The sequence below is a fragment of the Homo sapiens genome, chromosome 2 (assembly GCF_000001405.40).
Source record: "Homo sapiens chromosome 2, GRCh38.p14 Primary Assembly".
Lineage (NCBI taxonomy): Eukaryota > Metazoa > Chordata > Mammalia > Primates > Hominidae > Homo > Homo sapiens.
Window position 1 is genome coordinate 28,572,414 of NC_000002.12, and position 18,015 is coordinate 28,590,428.

The 18,015-nt window shown below is 49.0% G+C and overlaps 1 protein-coding gene across 3 annotated transcripts in view, besides 1 other annotated feature; it reads left to right on the forward strand.

Moving 5' to 3' along the window:
* The window catches only part of PLB1 (phospholipase B1), a 148,083-nt gene that overhangs the window by 76,354 nt on the left and 53,714 nt on the right, over positions 1–18,015 (forward strand). For 2 of the 3 annotated variants that reach the window (NR_138141.2, NM_001170585.2), the window contains 8 exons: positions 784–892; positions 5,694–5,745; positions 7,214–7,294; positions 9,992–10,092; positions 13,348–13,429; positions 17,037–17,141; positions 17,262–17,357; positions 17,592–17,663. Coding sequence is in view for 2 of the 3 variants with exons in the window: in NM_001170585.2 (NP_001164056.1) it covers positions 784–892; positions 5,694–5,745; positions 7,214–7,294; positions 9,992–10,092; positions 13,348–13,429; positions 17,037–17,141; positions 17,262–17,357; positions 17,592–17,663 (698 nt within the window). In the remaining variant the exon portion in view is untranslated. Of the gene's footprint in view, positions 1–783; positions 893–5,693; positions 5,746–7,213; positions 7,295–9,654; positions 9,721–9,991; positions 10,093–13,347; positions 13,430–17,036; positions 17,142–17,261; positions 17,358–17,591; positions 17,664–18,015 lie in introns of all 3 variants that reach the window. The other variant, NM_153021.5, reaches the window with a different exon arrangement.
* Positions 12,052–12,111: an enhancer, noted in NCBI's record as "active region_15517". NCBI's record gives its function as "activates an Ori minimal core promoter by ATAC-STARR-seq in GM12878 lymphoblastoid cells {active_cell/tissue: GM12878}" and the evidence as "EXISTENCE:reporter gene assay evidence [ECO:0000049][PMID:35858748]".

Genomic DNA, 18,015 nt, shown 5'->3' on the forward strand with positions numbered 1-18,015 from the left:
ATATCCAAGGGAAATCCACACAAAAACTTGTACACAAATGTTCATAGCAGCATTTTTCATAATACCCAAAATGTGGAAGTAACTCCAAAGCCCCATCAACTGAAGAATGGATAAATAAAATGTGGTATATCCATCCAGTGGAATATCATTCAGCAATAAAAACGAATGCAGTACAGTTGCATGCTACAACATGGGTGAATGTTGAAAACCGTACGCTAAGGGAAAGAGGCCAGTCACAAAAGGTATGTTGGGGTATGTGATTTCATTCATATGAAATGGCCTGAATAAGCAAGACTACAGAGACAGAGTAGATCCACGATTGCCACAAGGTTGCAGGGAATGGGGAGTGACTGCTAGTGGGTACTAGGTTTCTTTCTGGGGTGATGAAAATATTCTAAAGTTGATTACGTGGTGATGATTGTACAACTGTGTGAATGTGCTAGAAGTTATTGAACTGTATACTTTCAATTGGTAAATTTTATGGTAAGTGAATTATATCTCAGTAAAGCTAGTATATAGTTAGAAAAAAAGAAAAATACATGAAAAAAGCCTGTAACCCAGACTCACATTTCTTCAACAATAATTGAAACATCTGTCGTGTGCTGCCCTGTCGTTAAGCGCCATCCTGCTGAACATTTTCTTCCCATGCTGAGTGAAGGTTGGGGTAAGAGTAGGGGCTGCGGAGTGGGGACTCTGTTCCCTAACACCCACTGGTGCTTATCAAAGGAATTTGAAGATTGCTTTGCAGTAGTCACTAAGCGTGTCTTTTCCTTGTATTTGCAGACATCCTCCGGGAATTCAACCCTTCCCTGAAGGGCTTCTCTGTTGGCACTGGGAAAGAAACCAGTCCTAATGCCTTCTTAAACCAGGCTGTGGCAGGAGGCCGAGCTGAGTAAGCAGGGGTGACCGGGGCGGTGAACAGCACAGGTCCTCTGAGGACCAGGGGTGGGCTTGGCCTAAACTGGGTTTATGGCTGAAGGTTGAAGGGCTTTGTCAGAGGAAAGGGTTTCGGGGCCAAAGCCTGGACAGAGCTCTCTTGGAGGTGTCACAGAAATCTGTGAGCCTACCCTAACACCCACCCCCAGAAACTAGTCACAATGGACTCTGATGCCAGGCATATGCTCTGAGCAGATTACTTTGCCTGTCTGTAAATCTCACTTAAGACATAGGTTATAAGCAGGCTCACTCTGCGTCCCAGTTGTCACTGCTATGTCACTGCTGTTTCAGAGTCCTGCTCTCCCTCCCTTCCTCAGCTGTGCCTTTTGGGCTTTAAACTCTGCATCCTTCCAGTGTCCTGGGAAGAGTACCAGCCCTGGGAGGGGAGGCCCTGAGTACGAGCCCGGTTTCCTCCCTGGCCTCTCTAAGCCTCAGACTCTACGAGGTGGGGCTGGTTAGGAACCTCTCCCACAGGGCAGTCATGAAGCTCAAATGCCATATTGGATACGAAAGTTCTGGTGAGCTGTAAATAGTGTACACGTGACACACGTTGGTCAAAATGGTGGTCCTGGCAGTAATGCAGCAAGGTGGCAGGCCCACCTCGGGGGAAACATCAGTGAGCACGGCCATCACTGTCATGGTCCCTGGGCACGGCCAGGCCGGTCCCCAAGAGTGGGCAGGTCAGCTTTCCTAGGTCCCATCCCTTCACTGCATTCCAAGATTCCAGGGCCTTGAGTGCTGCTTGAGGTTTGCTGCCTGGGCAGAGAGCAAGTGAATGCCATACCTAATCAAGGAAAAATAAAACTGGATGATCCTTTCTTTCTTATACTATTTGTATTTATTTTTAATTTTTATTTCAACACTTTTTGGGGTACAGGTAGTTTTTGGTTACATGAGTAAGTTGTTTAGTGGTGATTTCTGAGATTTTGGTGTACCTGTCACCTGAGCAGTGTACACTGTACTCAATATGTAATCTTTAATCCCTCACCCCCCCCACCCTTCCTCTCTGAGTCCCCAAAGTCCATTATATCATTCTTTTTTTTTTTTTTTTGAGACAGGGTCTTGCTCTGTTGCCCAGGCTGGAGTACAGTAGTGTGATCTCAGCTCACTGCAACCTCCACCTCCCAGGTTCAAGGGATTCTCCCATCTCAGCCTCCCAAGTAGCTGGGATCACAGGCACACATCACCATTCCCGGCTAATTTTTTTTTTTTTTTTTTTTTTTTTTTGGTAGAGACAGGGTTTCACCATGTTGGCCAGGCTGGTCTTGAACTCCTGACCTCAAGTAATCTGCCTGCCTGGGCCTCCCAAAGTGCTGGGATTACAGGCATGAGCCACCATGCCTGGCCCATTATATCATTCTTATGCCTTTGCGTCCTCATAGCTTTGCTCTCCCACTTATAAGTGAGAACATACAATATGTGATTTTCCATTCCTGAGTTACTTCACTTAGAATAATGGCTTCCAGCTCCATCCAAGTTGCTGCAAATGACATTATTTCATTCCTTTTTATGGCTGAGTAGTATTCCATGGTGTATATATACCACATTTTTTTATCCGCTTGTTGGTTGATGAGCACTTAGGTTGGTTCCATATCTTTGCAATTGCAAATTGTGCTGCAGTAAACATGCATGTGCATGTGTCTTTTTCATGTAATGACTTATTTTCCTTTGAGTAGATACCCAGAAGTGGGATGGCTGGATCGAATGGTGGTTCTACTTTCAGTCTTTAAGGAATCTCCACACTGTTTTCCATGGCGGTTGTACTAGTTTACATTCCCACCAGCAGTGTAAAAGTGTTCCCTTTCACCATATCCAGGCCAACACCTATTATTTTTTTGACTTTTTAATTATGGCTGTTCTTGCAGGAGTAAAGTGATATCTCATTGTTTTAATTTGCATTTCCCTGACACTTTTGTTTATGTTGAGCATTTTTTAATGTTTGTTGGCTGGTTGTATATCTTCTTTTTAGAATTGACCATTCATGTCTTTTGCCCACTTTTTGATGGGATTATTTGGATTTTTTAGATCCTATTTTTAATCACAAACATCACACTACCATGTGGTTCCTAGGACTCATGTGGTTTGGTTCCTAGATTTCCTGACATCCTTCCAGCTCTCAGCACCATCCTGAGACCATGAGCCACCTAAGTAGCTTTCTTATTCATTGCCAGTGGGAAAGGTGAAAGAGTATCCAAAGTAATGGCTAACACAGACCCCAATAGACTTTGTTTGTTTGTTTGAGACAGAGTCTCACTCTGTTGCCCAGGCTGGAGTGCAGTGGCGCGATCTCCACTCCCTGCAACCTCCGCCTCCCAGGTTCAAGCGATTCTCCTGCCTCACCCTCCTGAGTAGCTGGGACTATGAGTGCATTTTCTGTATTTTTAGTAGAGACAGCGTTTCACCGTGTTAGCCAGGTTGGTCTCGATCTCCTGACCTCATGATCTGCCCACCTCGGCCTCCCAAAGTGCTGGGATTACAGGTGTGAGCCACTGTGCCCAGCAGGCCCAATATGTTTTATGATGAATTCTGAGGCTTTCTTTTCCTTTTGATGGGGATAGGATTAAAAGGCTGCAGGTTTACTGCTTTAATAGTACCATAATCTTGCTTTTTCCAAGCATATGTGGGCTGGTAGTATAAGAGGAAAGACAGTTGTAAGCATGATTAGGTCAGGGAGGCATCCAAGAATGAAACCTTAGAGTCAAGAGTGTAAAAGTAACCAAAATGAGTGTGATTCATATGGCCCTGGGTTTCTATCCTTGCATTTCCAGAGGCCTTGGGGCTCTTTCATGCAAGCAATCCAAGCACATCCTGGGTGGCAGGGAAAAGTTGGGGGTTATTATTCCCGTATTACAATCGAAGAAACTATAGCACAAAGAGGCCACATGGCCTGAACAAATGCATCGACTTGACCACATAGTCCAGCCTTGTGCCCTGCAGGCTTTATTCCAGGTCTGACAATAGCTGTCATGCAGATACAGCAGTGCACCATTTACAAGGCACCCTCACGTTTATCATCCCTGTAGTCTGCACAATAACCATGAGATGAACAGAGCAAAACGTCAGACTCCCATGTTTTACCAATGATAAAACTGAGCTTCAGCCAGGCACAGTGGCTCACGTCTGTAATCCCAGCACTTTGGGAGGCCGAGGTGGGTGGATTACTTGAGGTCAGGAGTTCGAGATCAGTCTGGCCAACATGGTGAAATCCCGTCTCTACTAAAAATACAACAATTAGCCGGGTGTGGTGGCGGGTGCCTGTAATTCCAGTTATTTGGGAGGCTGAGGCACGAGAATTGCTTGAACCTGGGAGGTGGAGGTTGCAGTGAACTGAGATCACGCCATTGCACTACAACCTGGGCGATAGCACGAGACTCAGTCTCAAAAAAAAGAGTTTCAGAGTAGTTGAGTAATCATCCTCAAACTCTGTTCCATCGACAGAGCAGCTGCTCTGATAACTTCAGATTTACAGATGAGGAAATCAAGCCTCAAAAAGGTTAAGTGACTTACCCGAAGTTCCCATCCAGGTAATCGAATACCTAGTGTACTATGACTCACATCAGGCCAGTAGGGCTAATAGATAAGAGGGGAAGAGGATGACCACTAATGTTTCCTGCTAAGCCCTGTGCCAGGGACTTTGTCAATGATGATGGTGGTAATGATGGCAGAAATAATTCAGTGGTTGCATACTACGTGCCAAGCACTGTTGTAAGTTCTTTATATGGCACCTCATTTAATTTCCCCAACAACTCTGTGAAGAAGGTATGTTACCATGCTCATTTCCCAAAGGGAAAAACTGAGGATTTGCAGGATCAAGTAGTCGGCCAAGGTCTCAGAGCTGGTCATTTGTGGAACCAGGATTCAAACCCTGGCTGTCTGGCACCAGCAGTGGTTCCCATCTACTGGTCCCAGTGACCCTCCAAGATCAGTGATCTTGTCTCCATTTTGTAGTCTTTTTGAACTGAGAATTTAAGTCACTTTCACACTGTTAGCAAAAGGCACCTAAGTGTCCAACCCAGGTGCATTTTACTAGACTACATCATCTTAAGGGTAGGAGGGCTTAGGCCATGGCACCTGCCAAAATGGGTGGTGCCATGACATGTGCATGATGTGAAATACTTACAGGCAAAACTTCTGTTTGCCCTGAACAAGCCTGGCTTGGAAGGAAAAGAAAAGTACACCATCAAATATGCCAATCAGAAAATAGTCACACCGGCCGGGCGCGGTGGCTCACGCCTGTAATCCCAGCATTTTGGGAGGCCGAGGCAGATGGATCGTGAGGTCAGGAGTTTGAGACCAGCCTGGCCAACATGGTGAAACCCCATCTCTACTAAAAATACAAAAATTAACTGGGTGTGGTGACACACAGCTATAATCTCAGCTACTTGGGAGGCTGAATCAGGAGAATTGCTTGAACCCAGGAGGCAGGGTTGCAGTAAGCTGAGATCGTGCCGCTGCACTTCAGCCTGGGTGACAGAGAAAGACTCCATCTCAGGGGAAACAAAAAGGAAAATAGTCACACTGAGAATCACCCCCTCCTACGTGCAGTGCTCTGGCCTTCCCAAGCACAGTCACCACCCCACACCCCCGCAGTGGAGCCTGAATGGGGAAGAAGCTCTGCGACACGGCCTTCAGTCCATTTTCCTGCAGGAGGCCCACCCTGGGCCTTCCTCCACCATACATTTGATTGCTGTTCTCTCTGCTAAGGGCCCCTGCCAGTCCCCACTCCTCACAGCACTTCCTCTGGTATGTTTCCACAGGGATCTACCTGTCCAGGCCAGGAGGCTGGTGGACCTGATGAAGAATGACACGGTGGGTCCCTGGGATGGGAAGTAGGCAGGAAAAATCCCTGGACACAGAGAAGATCAGCTGTGGATTGAGGGATGGTTGGGAGCCCGGCTTGGGTTTCTAGCAGACACATCTGAAGCCTAAAACACTGCTTCTCTGGAAAGGGGATTCCTATTTGTTCAGTCAGTTGGCTGTTGAAATTAAACATCTACTGTGAGTCAGGCATCAGGCTGGGGCTGCAGATGCACAAAAGAATACAACACAGTCCTGTCCTCAAGGAGCTTGGAAGCGGAGACCAATGTGAAGAATCAAATTATAAAACAGTTGCCACGTGCTCCACCGAAAGGGCTCTGTATAAGACACGGTGGGGTGCAGAAGGGACCGGCGCCTCTGCTTAGGACAGTCAGGGAAGGCTTGAAAAGGAGATTTTGGCTGTTATTCTGGGCACATGGCCTACGGGAGAGCCCTGGTCTGCAAGGAGCAGTACCAAAAAATAAAAGTAGAGGAGATGTTTGAGCCGGGTTCTGAAAGATGAATATGCAGCTCTCCCTCAAATGAAAGCACGGTCTCAATTCAGAGGCTTTTTGCAGGGGTTTCTAGGTGGGTAAAATAAAAAGGAAGATTAGGATGAGTTATGTTATATATAATTTAATGTACATCAAAGTCTATTATTGGGAGGTTCTCAGGGTATTTCTACCCTTAATGTCAAACTTTCCTGGATCTTGTTCTCACCTTCCTCCTTCCACGCTCTTTTGGAAGTGTAGATCAGGGAAGCAAAGCTATGTAGGCCTGGGGCAATATAAGAGGCTTGCAGGGCCGTGGCTGCCCTGGGGCCATAGTTTATGGAATGTGTATGGCTGCACCCTCTCCACACAGCCCTGTGACTTCATATGCTTTTCCAGGTCCTCTTTGGAGGAGACAGATCCCAGAGGTGGCAAAATCTTTTCAGAGCTTGTGCTTAGAGCTGCCACCTTACCCTACTCAGCCTCTCTGGCTTGACTAGTTCATGGGCAGAACTAGTCACCAGTGTGAGTATTCCAAATTTGGAGAGCTCCCTCTTAATGAAAGATGGTCTTTCTCCCTTAAGGCACAATTAGAATTCAGGATTTCTAGAAGATTCTGGAACAAACATTCCTTTCCCATGGCCAAAACCAGCTTCCTTATCCCTTCCCCACTTCCTTGCTATGCTGGAGATGGAGGAACAGAGCTCAGAGGGCATCTGTATCCACTCCCACCAGGACACGTGGAAACTGACGTGTGTGCTTTTGTGTGTGGACAGAGCCACATGCAAGTTCAGTGATTCCACCTAAAATAAATGAACCATTTAGCACCTATGATCTCAGGACCCTAAAAGCAAGGAACAGAAAATTCAGAAGTCCATGAGACACTCTGGTGTGTGAGGACCCATCTTTTCTAGTTTGCAAGCATTTTGTGTTTTCCTTGACTTGACTCTGGGACAAGGTGCTTACTTCTGTGTTTCTATTCATTTCAGAGGATACACTTTCAGGAAGACTGGAAGATAATAACCCTGTTTATAGGCGGCAATGACCTCTGTGATTTCTGCAATGATCTGGTAGGTCTCCAGGCACTTTACTCAAGACTCACCCCCAGAGAAGGATTTTCACAGCCCGGTCACTTGCTCTGCCCGGGAGGAGTACAGCTAAGTTGGGACTCAGGCTCATGGTTTGTCTTGGATCCAGCCTGGGATGAACCCTGAGACTGAGAAGGCATTCACCTCCAGGGAACCATTCAGCTGGGCAAGCAGGATTAGTTATAAGATTGATCCTGATTAAGTTTCCTATCAAGGGAGCTTGATCATATCATTCTAGAAAGCAAGATAACACCCAATGACTAGAAAAATCTTTCCCATGTTCACAGAGAGTCACAGGTTAGCTCCCTTCCCCAGTCTCCAGCAGCCTTGCCCTTTCCACCTTTGTGCTGTCACTTGTATGGGAAGGTCGATTTCCTGCAGGCATTTGGGCAAGCTTCAGAGCCAAGTCATTCTGGGCTGGTGGGAAACCCAAGATCAAGGCTGCTGCTCCATGGATGCTGCGTGTCCTCCTGGAACCTCAGTCTCTGAGCTGATAGAAGCCTGACAGGGCATACCCACTAGTCTCCCACCCACGCCTATGCCAGGAATGTACTAGGAGCAAGGCAGTGGTGAAGGAAACACAGGCCCTGTCCTCAGGAACTTGCACTGCCAGCGGAGAGAGAGACAGGCAGTTCATCACAGCACAAAGCAGACATCAGGATGTTGTTGTAGGGATACACACAGAAGAGAGGTCTAAAAGCAAAGTTGGCTGGGTGTGGTGGCTCACACCTGTAATCCCAGCACTTCGGGAGGCCGAGGCAGGCAGATTACCTGAGGTCAGGAGTTCAAGATCAGCCTGGCCAACATGGTGAAACCCTGTCTCTACAAAAATACAAAAATTAGCTGGTTGTGATGGCAAGTGCTTGTAGTCCCAGCTACTTGGGAGGCTGAGGCGGAAGAATCGCTTGAACCCAGGTGGCAGAGGTTGCAGTGAGCTGAGATCATGCCACTGCACTCCAGCCTGGGTGACAAAGCGAGACTCCATCTCAAAAAAAAAAAAAGCAAAGTTGCTGTGGGACCCTGGTGTGTGGGAAAGGGGGTTGTTGGAGAGATTTACACAGAGCAGGAGACTTTCCAGCTCAGGCTTGAAGATGAGGAGGTTTGTCAGACAGAAAGGGGACCAGCAGAGTGAGGTTTAGGAAGTAGTGGCCTTGCTCTGGCCTGTGAGCACCTACCTGGAGGGATGCCCCAGCCCCCAGGCCCCTCACAACCCACTTTCTTGGCATCAAAGTCACCAGGAGTCAGGAGTTTTCAAGCTGTGATCTGAAGGGCCCAGAGGGGAGCCTTGGGGCTGCTGGTAGCCCGTGGGGAGGTGGGACCCTGGGCCCCTCCCCTGCTCATGTTAAGTGACACAGCTTTCATATGTTCCATACAGCAGGGCTTTTGGTTAGATTTCAATCAGAGAAAGAGTTCCACTGCTGAGAAAGCTTTAAAACCGCAAATATCGAGATCAGGAGAAACAGTTAAAATGTGTTTAGGCTTGGTGTGGCCGGTGTTTCACAGGACGCTCTTCCCCTCTTCCCCTCCCATTATTGCCTTGATTTATGTAGGGTGTGCTTTCATACATGTAGGGTGTGCTCAGTAGCCCCAGACACTGAGGCTCCAAGAAAAAGAGATCGGGCCATAGGACAGAGGCTGCTCAGATTGCAGGAGATCTTAGAGTCATCTGCTCGGACATCCCCATGTTAGAGGGGCCTGGAGATGTGATGCTTTGGCTCTACAGTTAGTGGATATGGAGTAGATCCAGAGCTCCACGCAAAAAAATAAATAAATAAATAAATAAATAAATAAATAAATAAATAAATAAATAAAATTAAAAAAAGAGGCATAGGCATTTCCCTGAGGGCCACAGCCATGACAAACCTGAGGATCATGGGGCTGGTGTCCAGGCTGGGGCCCCAAAGACAAACACTATTTCAATATTGCCCACTGTGACTGAATACAGAAAGAAGGGGACTCTGGCCAGGTGCGGTGGCTCATACCTGTAATCCCAGCACTTTGGGAGGCTGAGGTGGATGGATCACTTGAGCCCAGGACCAGCCTGGGCAACATGGGGAAACCCCATCTCTACCAAAAAATACAAAAATTAGCCAGGTGTGGTGGCACGCACCCATGGTCCCAGTTACTTGGGAGGCTGAGGTGGGAGGATTGCTTGAGCCCAGGAGGTGAAGGTTGCAGTGAGCCATGATCACACCACTGCACTCCAGCCCGGGAGACAGAGTGAGATCCTATCTCAAAAAAAGAAAAAAAAAAAAGAAGGGGACCCAAGAGAGAAAGTAGCCCTGTTCTGTAGAGAGATTAGGTGACAAATGGTGTTCAAGGGACACTTCCTCTTCCTGCAGGTCCACTATTCTCCCCAGAACTTCACAGACAACATTGGAAAGGCCCTGGACATCCTCCATGCTGAGGTACGGAGGCTAGGCCATGAGGCCTGCATCTTAGACCTCAGACCTAGCCTAGAGGAAGCTCTGGCATCCTGCTGAGACCTCCTTGGCAGGTCACCTTTGTTGTGGATCCCAGCCCAAATGCATAGAGGGGGAGCAGGGACGGGTGGAGGAAGTGGATGGGGGCAGATGGAAGTCCCTAGATCTGAAACTTCAGCAGGAGGAGCAGGCCCCAAACCGAGGTGAAAGGCTGCCCAGCCTCATCCTCTTGGTGACTGAGTTTGCCTTTTCTCAGGTTCCTCGGGCATTTGTGAACCTGGTGACGGTGCTTGAGATCGTCAACCTGAGGGAGCTGTACCAGGAGAAAAAAGTCTACTGCCCAAGGATGATCCTCAGGTCAGACAGATACTTCTCCCCGATTCTACTAAGAATCCTCACTGCTAAGGGCAGTGGCACCCTTAGCAAATTCCTTAGAAAACCCAAGGGCCGAAGTGTGAAAGGGCTGTGACCACCCCATCTTCTAACCTGGAAAAGCCTAAGGGGAGGATATCCTAGGATTTTTCCACCCTGGTGTAGGCCTCAGCCCACCTCAGGGTGTGCATGGGGAACTACCCCTGCACCCCGCCTCTGTTGCCATGGCAGCCACAAGGCACCCTCCAGGCCTCCAGAGGGAAGAGTAAAACGCTAGGAATGGAGTCAAGCTGTGTGTCTGAGGCCCGGGGACCGCCCAGGCCACTGCTGGGACCTACTTCCAAGTGTGTCCAGAGCTGATCTGCCCCCTCCTAGAGGCCCATCTCTAGGACAGGGGTGCCTCTGGTTGGTATGGGTGTTCCATGTAAAGCATTCACAGATATAGGGCCACTGTCACCTGCCAGAGAAGGAGGTCAAACCAGAATTAGCAGGGTCCAGAGGACAGAGTCCTCCCCAGAGAGTAGAGAACCCTGGTCCTGAGAAGGTGCCTGAGAGGACGTCTTCACCCCTCAGCCTCCAGAGCCAGACAGAGCTGGCTTCCCCTTCTAATACAGGCTGAGCATCCCTCATCCGAAAATCTGAAATCTGAAATGCTCCAAAATCCAAAACTTTTTTTTTTTTTTGAGACAGGGTCTCGCTCTGTTGCCTAGGCTGGAGTGCAGTGGCATGATCTTGGCTCACTGCAGTCTCCGCCTCCCAGGTTCAAGCAATTCTCCCACCTCAGCCTCCTTAGTAGCTGGGATTACAGGCACACCACCATGCCCAGCTAATTTTTGTATTTTTAGTAGAGACGGAGTTTTATCATGTTGGCCAAGCTGGTCCCGAACTGCTGACCTCAGGTGATCCACCCTCCTCGGCCTCCCAAAGTGCTGGGATTACAGGCGTGAAGCCACCATGCCTGGCCCCGAATCCAAAACTTTTAAAGTGCTGACATGACACCACAAGGGGAAAATTCCACACCTGACTTCATGTGACAGGTTGTAGTGAAAACACAGGTGCACAGCACGCAGTTTATTCAGCATCCCCAAAAAGCCTCCTTCAGCTGCGATGCACTCTCTTTTCTGGGCATGCCCAGATCCTGCGGCTCAAGCATGCCCACAAAGGGTAGCAAAATGGCACATGTGCAGGCCGGATGCTCCAACAACAGGTTCCCCATAATGGCTCATGTGGGGCTAAGACCTGCGTGCATTACTCACCTAGTTTTTGCTCATTCTCTGTGTGGTAAAGATGTGGCTTAAAACGATAGCCATAGGGTAATGCAAATATTCCAAAAAAAAAAAAATCTGAAATCTGAAATGCTTCTGGCTCAAAGCATTTCAGATAAGGGAGACCCAGCCTGTATCACACATCTCCAGGACCGTCAGGAATAAGACGTTCCTCTAAGTGAAGCATGAACGTTTTCCGCAGCCTTCCTTCCTGCAGGTTTTCCTCTGGACTGTTAGCCAAGGTCACTGAGACTGTGCTCCCCTACCCTGCCCCCCAGCTCTGTTACTCGGTACAGGTCCCCACCCCAGCCCTGAGCACATCACATGGTAATTACTCATGTGCCTCCCTCCCCCACAGCCTGTGAACTCAGCCTGAGTCACTGCTAGCATGGTGTAGGGGCTCAGCTGCTGTTTGCTGAATGACTGAATAATTCACAAGGGCCAGACTTGCTCTTGGAAGTTAAGGGGTACCTTTCCTGCTCCTCTGCAGATCCATGCCATGCCTCACCTGGGGGACCCAAACCGCACAGGTCCCCTGGAGAAGGCCTCACGGTGCTGTGAGCAGAGACAGGATGGTTGCTTGGGTGACATGTTCCTATGAACGCAGCTGGTGTCAGGCATGCTATTTCCAACTGCTGACTCATCCGCTGGCTCACACTTTCTCCAGTCACTGGGCCACACAGGGGATCGGTGTCTTCACTCCATTTCAGAGCAGTTTACCAGAAAGCCTCTTGCTACCCATCTTGGCAGGGTTTTTTAGACCATTCAAACTCAAGGTTCAAAATAGGCATTTGCCAGGCCCATTCACAGATCTGAGATGGCCAAGTCACTGAATGTCAAGGTTGGATAGACTCAGGTCACCTTCTCCTGCCACCTCTGCAGTGCCCTGCACTCCCCGCCTCTCCACTGTTTCATCGGGTGGCTGTGCTTTCCTCTGCAGTGCTGAGTCTACACGGAGCCATCCCTGCTGTTATCACCTCATCCCCCTGGACCAAAAGCCCAGATGTGCCAGATAGCTGGCCGGGTCAGAGCTGCAGATTGGATGGAAGCAGTTTAACATAGAGATTAAGAGCTCAGGTTCAGAGCCAGGCAGACTTGAGTTCAAGTCCTAGCTCCCACACTCAGCACCCATGCAACCTTGAGAAAGTTACTCAACCACCCTGAGCCTGGGTTTCCTCATCTCTAAAACAGGGATAATGAGAATACCACTTCTAGAATGGCTGGGAGGACTAAACAGGTTAATACCCATAAAGTTTTTATTGCAGTGCTTGGTACAGTGTTCAATGTTAATTATTCAATAATAATTGCTAAGATACACTCAAATCAATGTATCTTAGCAATTATTATTGTTGTCACTGCAGTATGCCTCATCGGCACAGCACTTTCCTCAGACAGCCGTAAGGTGACTCGTCTCCATAAAAGTCACTCCTACAGAAATCAGAAGAAGTCTATTTCATTTTCAAGAGCAAATCCAGGTCTAGGAATTTTTCTTTTTTTTTTTTTCTTTTGAGACAGAGTCTCGCTCTGTTGCCCAGGCTGGAGTGCAGTGGCACAATCTCGGCTCACTGCAACCTCCGCCTCCCGGGTTCAAGCGATTCTCATGCCTCAGCCTCCCGAGTAGCTGGGACCACAGGCATGCAGCACCACCCCAAGCTAATAGTTTGTATTTTTAGTAGAGACGGGGTTTCGCTATGTCAGCCAGCCTGGTCTTGAACTCCTGACCTCAAGTGATCCACCCACCTCGGCCCACCAAAGTGCTGGCATTACAGGCGTGAGCCACCGCGCCTGGCCTGGAAATCTTCTTTAGCTTCGTTTGGTATGGTCAGCAGGTCAGCCAGCCAGGCTCCTCATTAGCACAGATCTCTGAACTCCAAGTTAAAAGAAATGTATTGAGTCTCAAGCCAGCGTTTCTGCATCACTTATTCAGGATGGTGATCTTGGTGGGATGAGGGTTTCTCTTTGGTTTGGTCTACAGGTCTCTGTGTCCCTGTGTCCTGAAGTTTGATGATAACTCAACAGAACTTGCTACCCTCATCGAATTCAACAAGAAGTTTCAGGTAAGCCGGGAAGGGGTTCTAAGACTTCCCAGAACTGCTGTGTGATTCGATTGCTCTGTCTAGAGAACAAGTCAGTGCTTAGGTAATTTTGACCCTGTGTGGGGGATGACCACTGACTAGTTTGCTGATTTTAAAACACCCTGAGACACAGCAGGGGCTGCTACTTGGTTTGTATGAATTGCACCACAGAACCAAGTCCCTGAACATGACCCACTGAATCTCAGTTCCTGGTCGTTAAATGAAACGAACGTTTCCACTTGTCCATGGGCAAACATGGATCATGGAAAGAAGTTTCAGAGTGGATCTATCCAGACCCAAACCTCGACTCTGCTCGCTGGTTGTGGAATGTTAGACACATGGGCAATGAAACTTCTCTGAACTTCCAGCTCCTGGGTGGGAAACGGAGGCTGAAAGTCCTCCCTCCCTTGAGGCTCTCCAGGGTTCAGTGACACAGGGTGCATTCCCTCTGCCCTCCGCTCCTATAGAATGGATGATCTTGGGAGAGCACAAGGAGAAAGAAAGTCAGGAGATGATCTCCATCTTGTGAGTTGTTCATTTTAGTCCTTTCTCTACCACATCTTTGACCAGAACAGCTGACTCCCTTAACAATCGAGTTTCTCCCCAGCAAAAAGTTTCTCCCCAACAAGCTTGAAGAGGACAGTGGTAGGCCTTTCTTCTAGACTAGGCTGCAAACAGCTACCAGAGTGGATCCATCCTTCCAGGAGTCCCTGGACTCCTTGGGGGCAGTACCACTTCCCTGCCACCCATTTTGGGGGCAGCTAGACCTGCCAGGTATGTCAGGGCTCAGGGAAATGAACCTGTATTTATTATCCTTTGTGACTACTACCTAGCACTCGGGATGACTCCCTAGCTGGACTTCCTTTATTTTATGTATTTATTTATTTTTATATATTTATCTATTTGAGACAGGGTCTCACTTTGTCATCCAGGCTGGAGTGCAGTGGCACAATCTTGGCTCACTGCAGCCTTGACCTCCAAGCCTCAAGTGATCCTCCCGCCTCAGTCCCCCAAGTAGCTGGGACTACAGGTGTGTGCCACCACACCCGGCTACTTTTTGTATTTTTTAGTAGAGATTGGGTTTCACTATGTTGCCCAGGCTGGTCTTGGACTCCTGCACACAAGCAATCCACCCGCCTCAGCCTTCCAAAGTGCTGGGATTGCAGGTGTGAGCCACCGCGCCAAGCCACACTTCCTTCTGCTGTGAGCAGGCACCTGTGACTCTGGGGAGGAAGTCCCTGGCCCACATCAGAAGAGGGGCGGCAGCTGAGGTTATGGCCATGAGAGCAACCCTGTTTCAATTGGGGTTACTGGGTGCACGCAACTAAAGTTCATGCAGTTTCTGGCTAATTTAAGCAGATTTAATATTTACACAATCTCTGACAGAGCTAGAGAGCTAGGGTCCGGAGCTATGCCATCAGGAATCATGGAATCATGGACTTCTAGGGGCCAAGCCATAAGAATCAAAATCAATGCTGGGCGTGGTGACTCACGCCTATAATCCCAGCACTTTGGGAGACCAAGGCGGGAGGATCACTTGAGTTTAGGAGTTCAAGACCAGCCTGGCCAACATAGTGAAACCCTGCAAAAAATACCAAAATTAGTCGGACGTGGTGGCACATGCCTGTAGCCTCAGCTACTCGGGAGGCTGAGGTGGGAGGATCACTTGAGCCCAGGAGGCGGAGGTTGCAGTGAGCCGAGATTGCACCGTTGCGCTCCAGCCTGGGTGACACAGTGAGACTGTCTCAAAAAAAAAAAAAATCAAAATCAGGCCACAGACCTGGTCCAGGGAAGACATCACAGACTCCACTGTCACTGCTGCTTCTAGGAACTGGTTGCAGCTGCCACCTTCAGCAGAATGGATGTTTTGCCATCCCTGACACAGGCAATGATTGCTGAAGCCTCAGTCACATACCCACGCCCTGGCTGCAAGAGCGGTTAGGAAAGCAGGCGTTCTCTCATCTTTTTTAGTCTCCACAGTGGGAGGCAGGCTGCTCTCTATGCAGTGGGGTCTCCAAACTTGGAAGTGGGTTCAGATGCTGAGCAGCTGAAAAGCAGGAGAAAGATTGATCAACATCGCCCTCCCAGCCTCTGCAGACAGGCCAGATGTTCCCAGGGCTGATCCTGGTCGTCACTGAGGCCCTGATCTAGTGTTTTGGAGATGCCCGTGTGTCAGCCGTGTGTGGCCATCATGCCCTGTCTCAGAATCATCTCACGCCCTACTTCCCACAGAAGCTACGGCTCTCTCACTCTCCCTGGAGATGATCATTTCTATTAATAACCACAGTCACTCACTTACCACTTGCCATGTGCCAGGGACTCTACACACTATTTCTTTCCACTGCCAAAAGGTGTATGGTTCCACTGTGAGCCCATCTGGCTATCCCCCGAGTAACCAGTAGCGTTGGAAGGGACTTAAGAGATGGCCCAGGACTCAGCCAACATCCTCCATTTACTAAAAGGGAAGCAGCATGCTGGAAGTCACCCTGCTAGTTCACAGCACCTCACTTCCTTCCCCTCTTCTGAGAGACGACCTTCTCTCCTTTCCTCATGCCTTACTCAAGGCTGACCACTGGCTTGGGAGGTCAGACATGAGACATTCCTGGCCTGGGAATTGACCCTGGGAAAAGACAGTGTGTGGTGTCTTCTGAAGTGACCCCATTCACATTCCCAGGTATGTAAGCCTGACTTCCCTCTCCAGCCAGTACCCCGAGGTGGCAGAAACCCTGGTGAGCAGTGGAATGGCTGAGTCAGCCTAGAGTGGGAGCCGGAACTGGGGTAACAGATTTTCCTAGCAGTGACCCCAAGCAAAAGCTGTGAGGGTTACACAGATCTGAGAGCCTCAAAGAAGTGCACACACACCATGCACAGGCAATATAAATATACATTAAATTTTGATTCACCTTTGATTTTTCTGAACAAATGTAGGACAGAAATAAATTGTTAGGATTATTCAAAATGTCATTTAACCAAAAACCACCCCTCACGTCTTTAATCAGAATAGCTTTAAAAGAAGTCAAGCTGGCCAGGCGCGGTGGCTCGCACCTGTAATCCCAGCACTTTGGGAGGCCGAGGCGGGTGGATCACGAGGTCAGGAGTTCGAGACCAGCCTGGCCAACATAGTGAAACCCCGTCTCTGCTAAAAATACAAAAAATTAGCCAGGCGTGGTGGCAGGCGCCTGTAATCCCAGCTACTCCAGAGGCTGAGGCAGGGGAATCGCTTGAACCCGGGAGGCGGAGGTTGCAGTGAGCCAAGATCGCGCCATTGCACTCCAGCCTGGGTGACAGAGTGAGACTCTGTCCCCCCAAAAAAAAAAGGTCAAGCTGATAGACTTTTCTTACCTTTCCCTTTTCACAGACTAGCTCAAATATATGCAATCGCAGCAGAGTTTGGGGCCAGGGGTTGAGATAAAGGCTGATCTAAAATGTAAATGATCTAAAATGTAAAATCTCAGTTGAGATTTTGCACCAGGTTGATTTCACTCAACAGTCAGATTCTGTTTAATTCTGTGTTGGAGAAAGAGATCAATCAAGGACCGAGCAGATGCAGAGAGGACTGCCTGACATCTGTCCCCTTTTCCTCCTGCAGGAGAAGACCCACCAACTGATTGAGAGTGGGCGATATGACACAAGGGAAGATTTTACTGTGGTTGTGCAGCCGTTCTTTGAAAACGTGGACATGCCAAAGACCTCGGTAAAGAAAGCAAGCATCGTAGAAAAATAGAATCCACAGATAGTGTGTGGCTGTTTCTGAGTGTCACTTATATGATCCAGTGTGTCTATAACTGCCTCTCTTTTTCTGCCCGGTGACCAGGAAGGATTGCCTGACAACTCTTTCTTCGCTCCTGACTGTTTCCACTTCAGCAGCAAGTCTCACTCCCGAGCAGCCAGTGCTCTCTGGAACAATATGGTAAGTGGCTGCGGTAGGAAAATGCATCCTCCCTCTGGTAAGAAAAAGACTTCACAAAGCCTTTGGAGGACCTCGGAGGCCCATCGTGCAGGCCATGTGATTCTATGCACGGCAATGACAAACAAACCCCATCTCCTTCATCCCTCCCTGCCTCCCGCACCCCTGACCTGCGTCCTGAGCTTTCCATTCTGGCCGCCTCTTCCTCACTCCCCATCTCCCTGCTTCTTTGTTTAGCTGGAGCCTGTTGGCCAGAAGACGACTCGTCATAAGTTTGAAAACAAGATCAATATCACATGTCCGAACCAGGTAGAGTGGAAAGCACGTCCTTCCAGGCTCCGGCTGCACTGGGCTTCTTGGCTCATTTCATCCTAGGCCCTCACCCTCACCCCAGCTCTGCCTGCCCACCCACCCCATTTTATACTCCAGGGTTAACTGCCCCAAATGCCCCATCTGGTTGTACTGAGAGGGACGGCCACCCCCAGTGACCCAGAGGCCTGGGAGTGCTTGGTCCCTGCGTGGCTGGGAGCCCTCACACATGTCTGGGGTGGAGACAACTCTTTGGGGCAGGCAAGATGAGCATGGCAGCCACATCTACCTGTCATTCTGAAAGCTGAGGGCAGCAGAGAACTTCAAGGGCAGATGGGGCGGAAGGATCCCT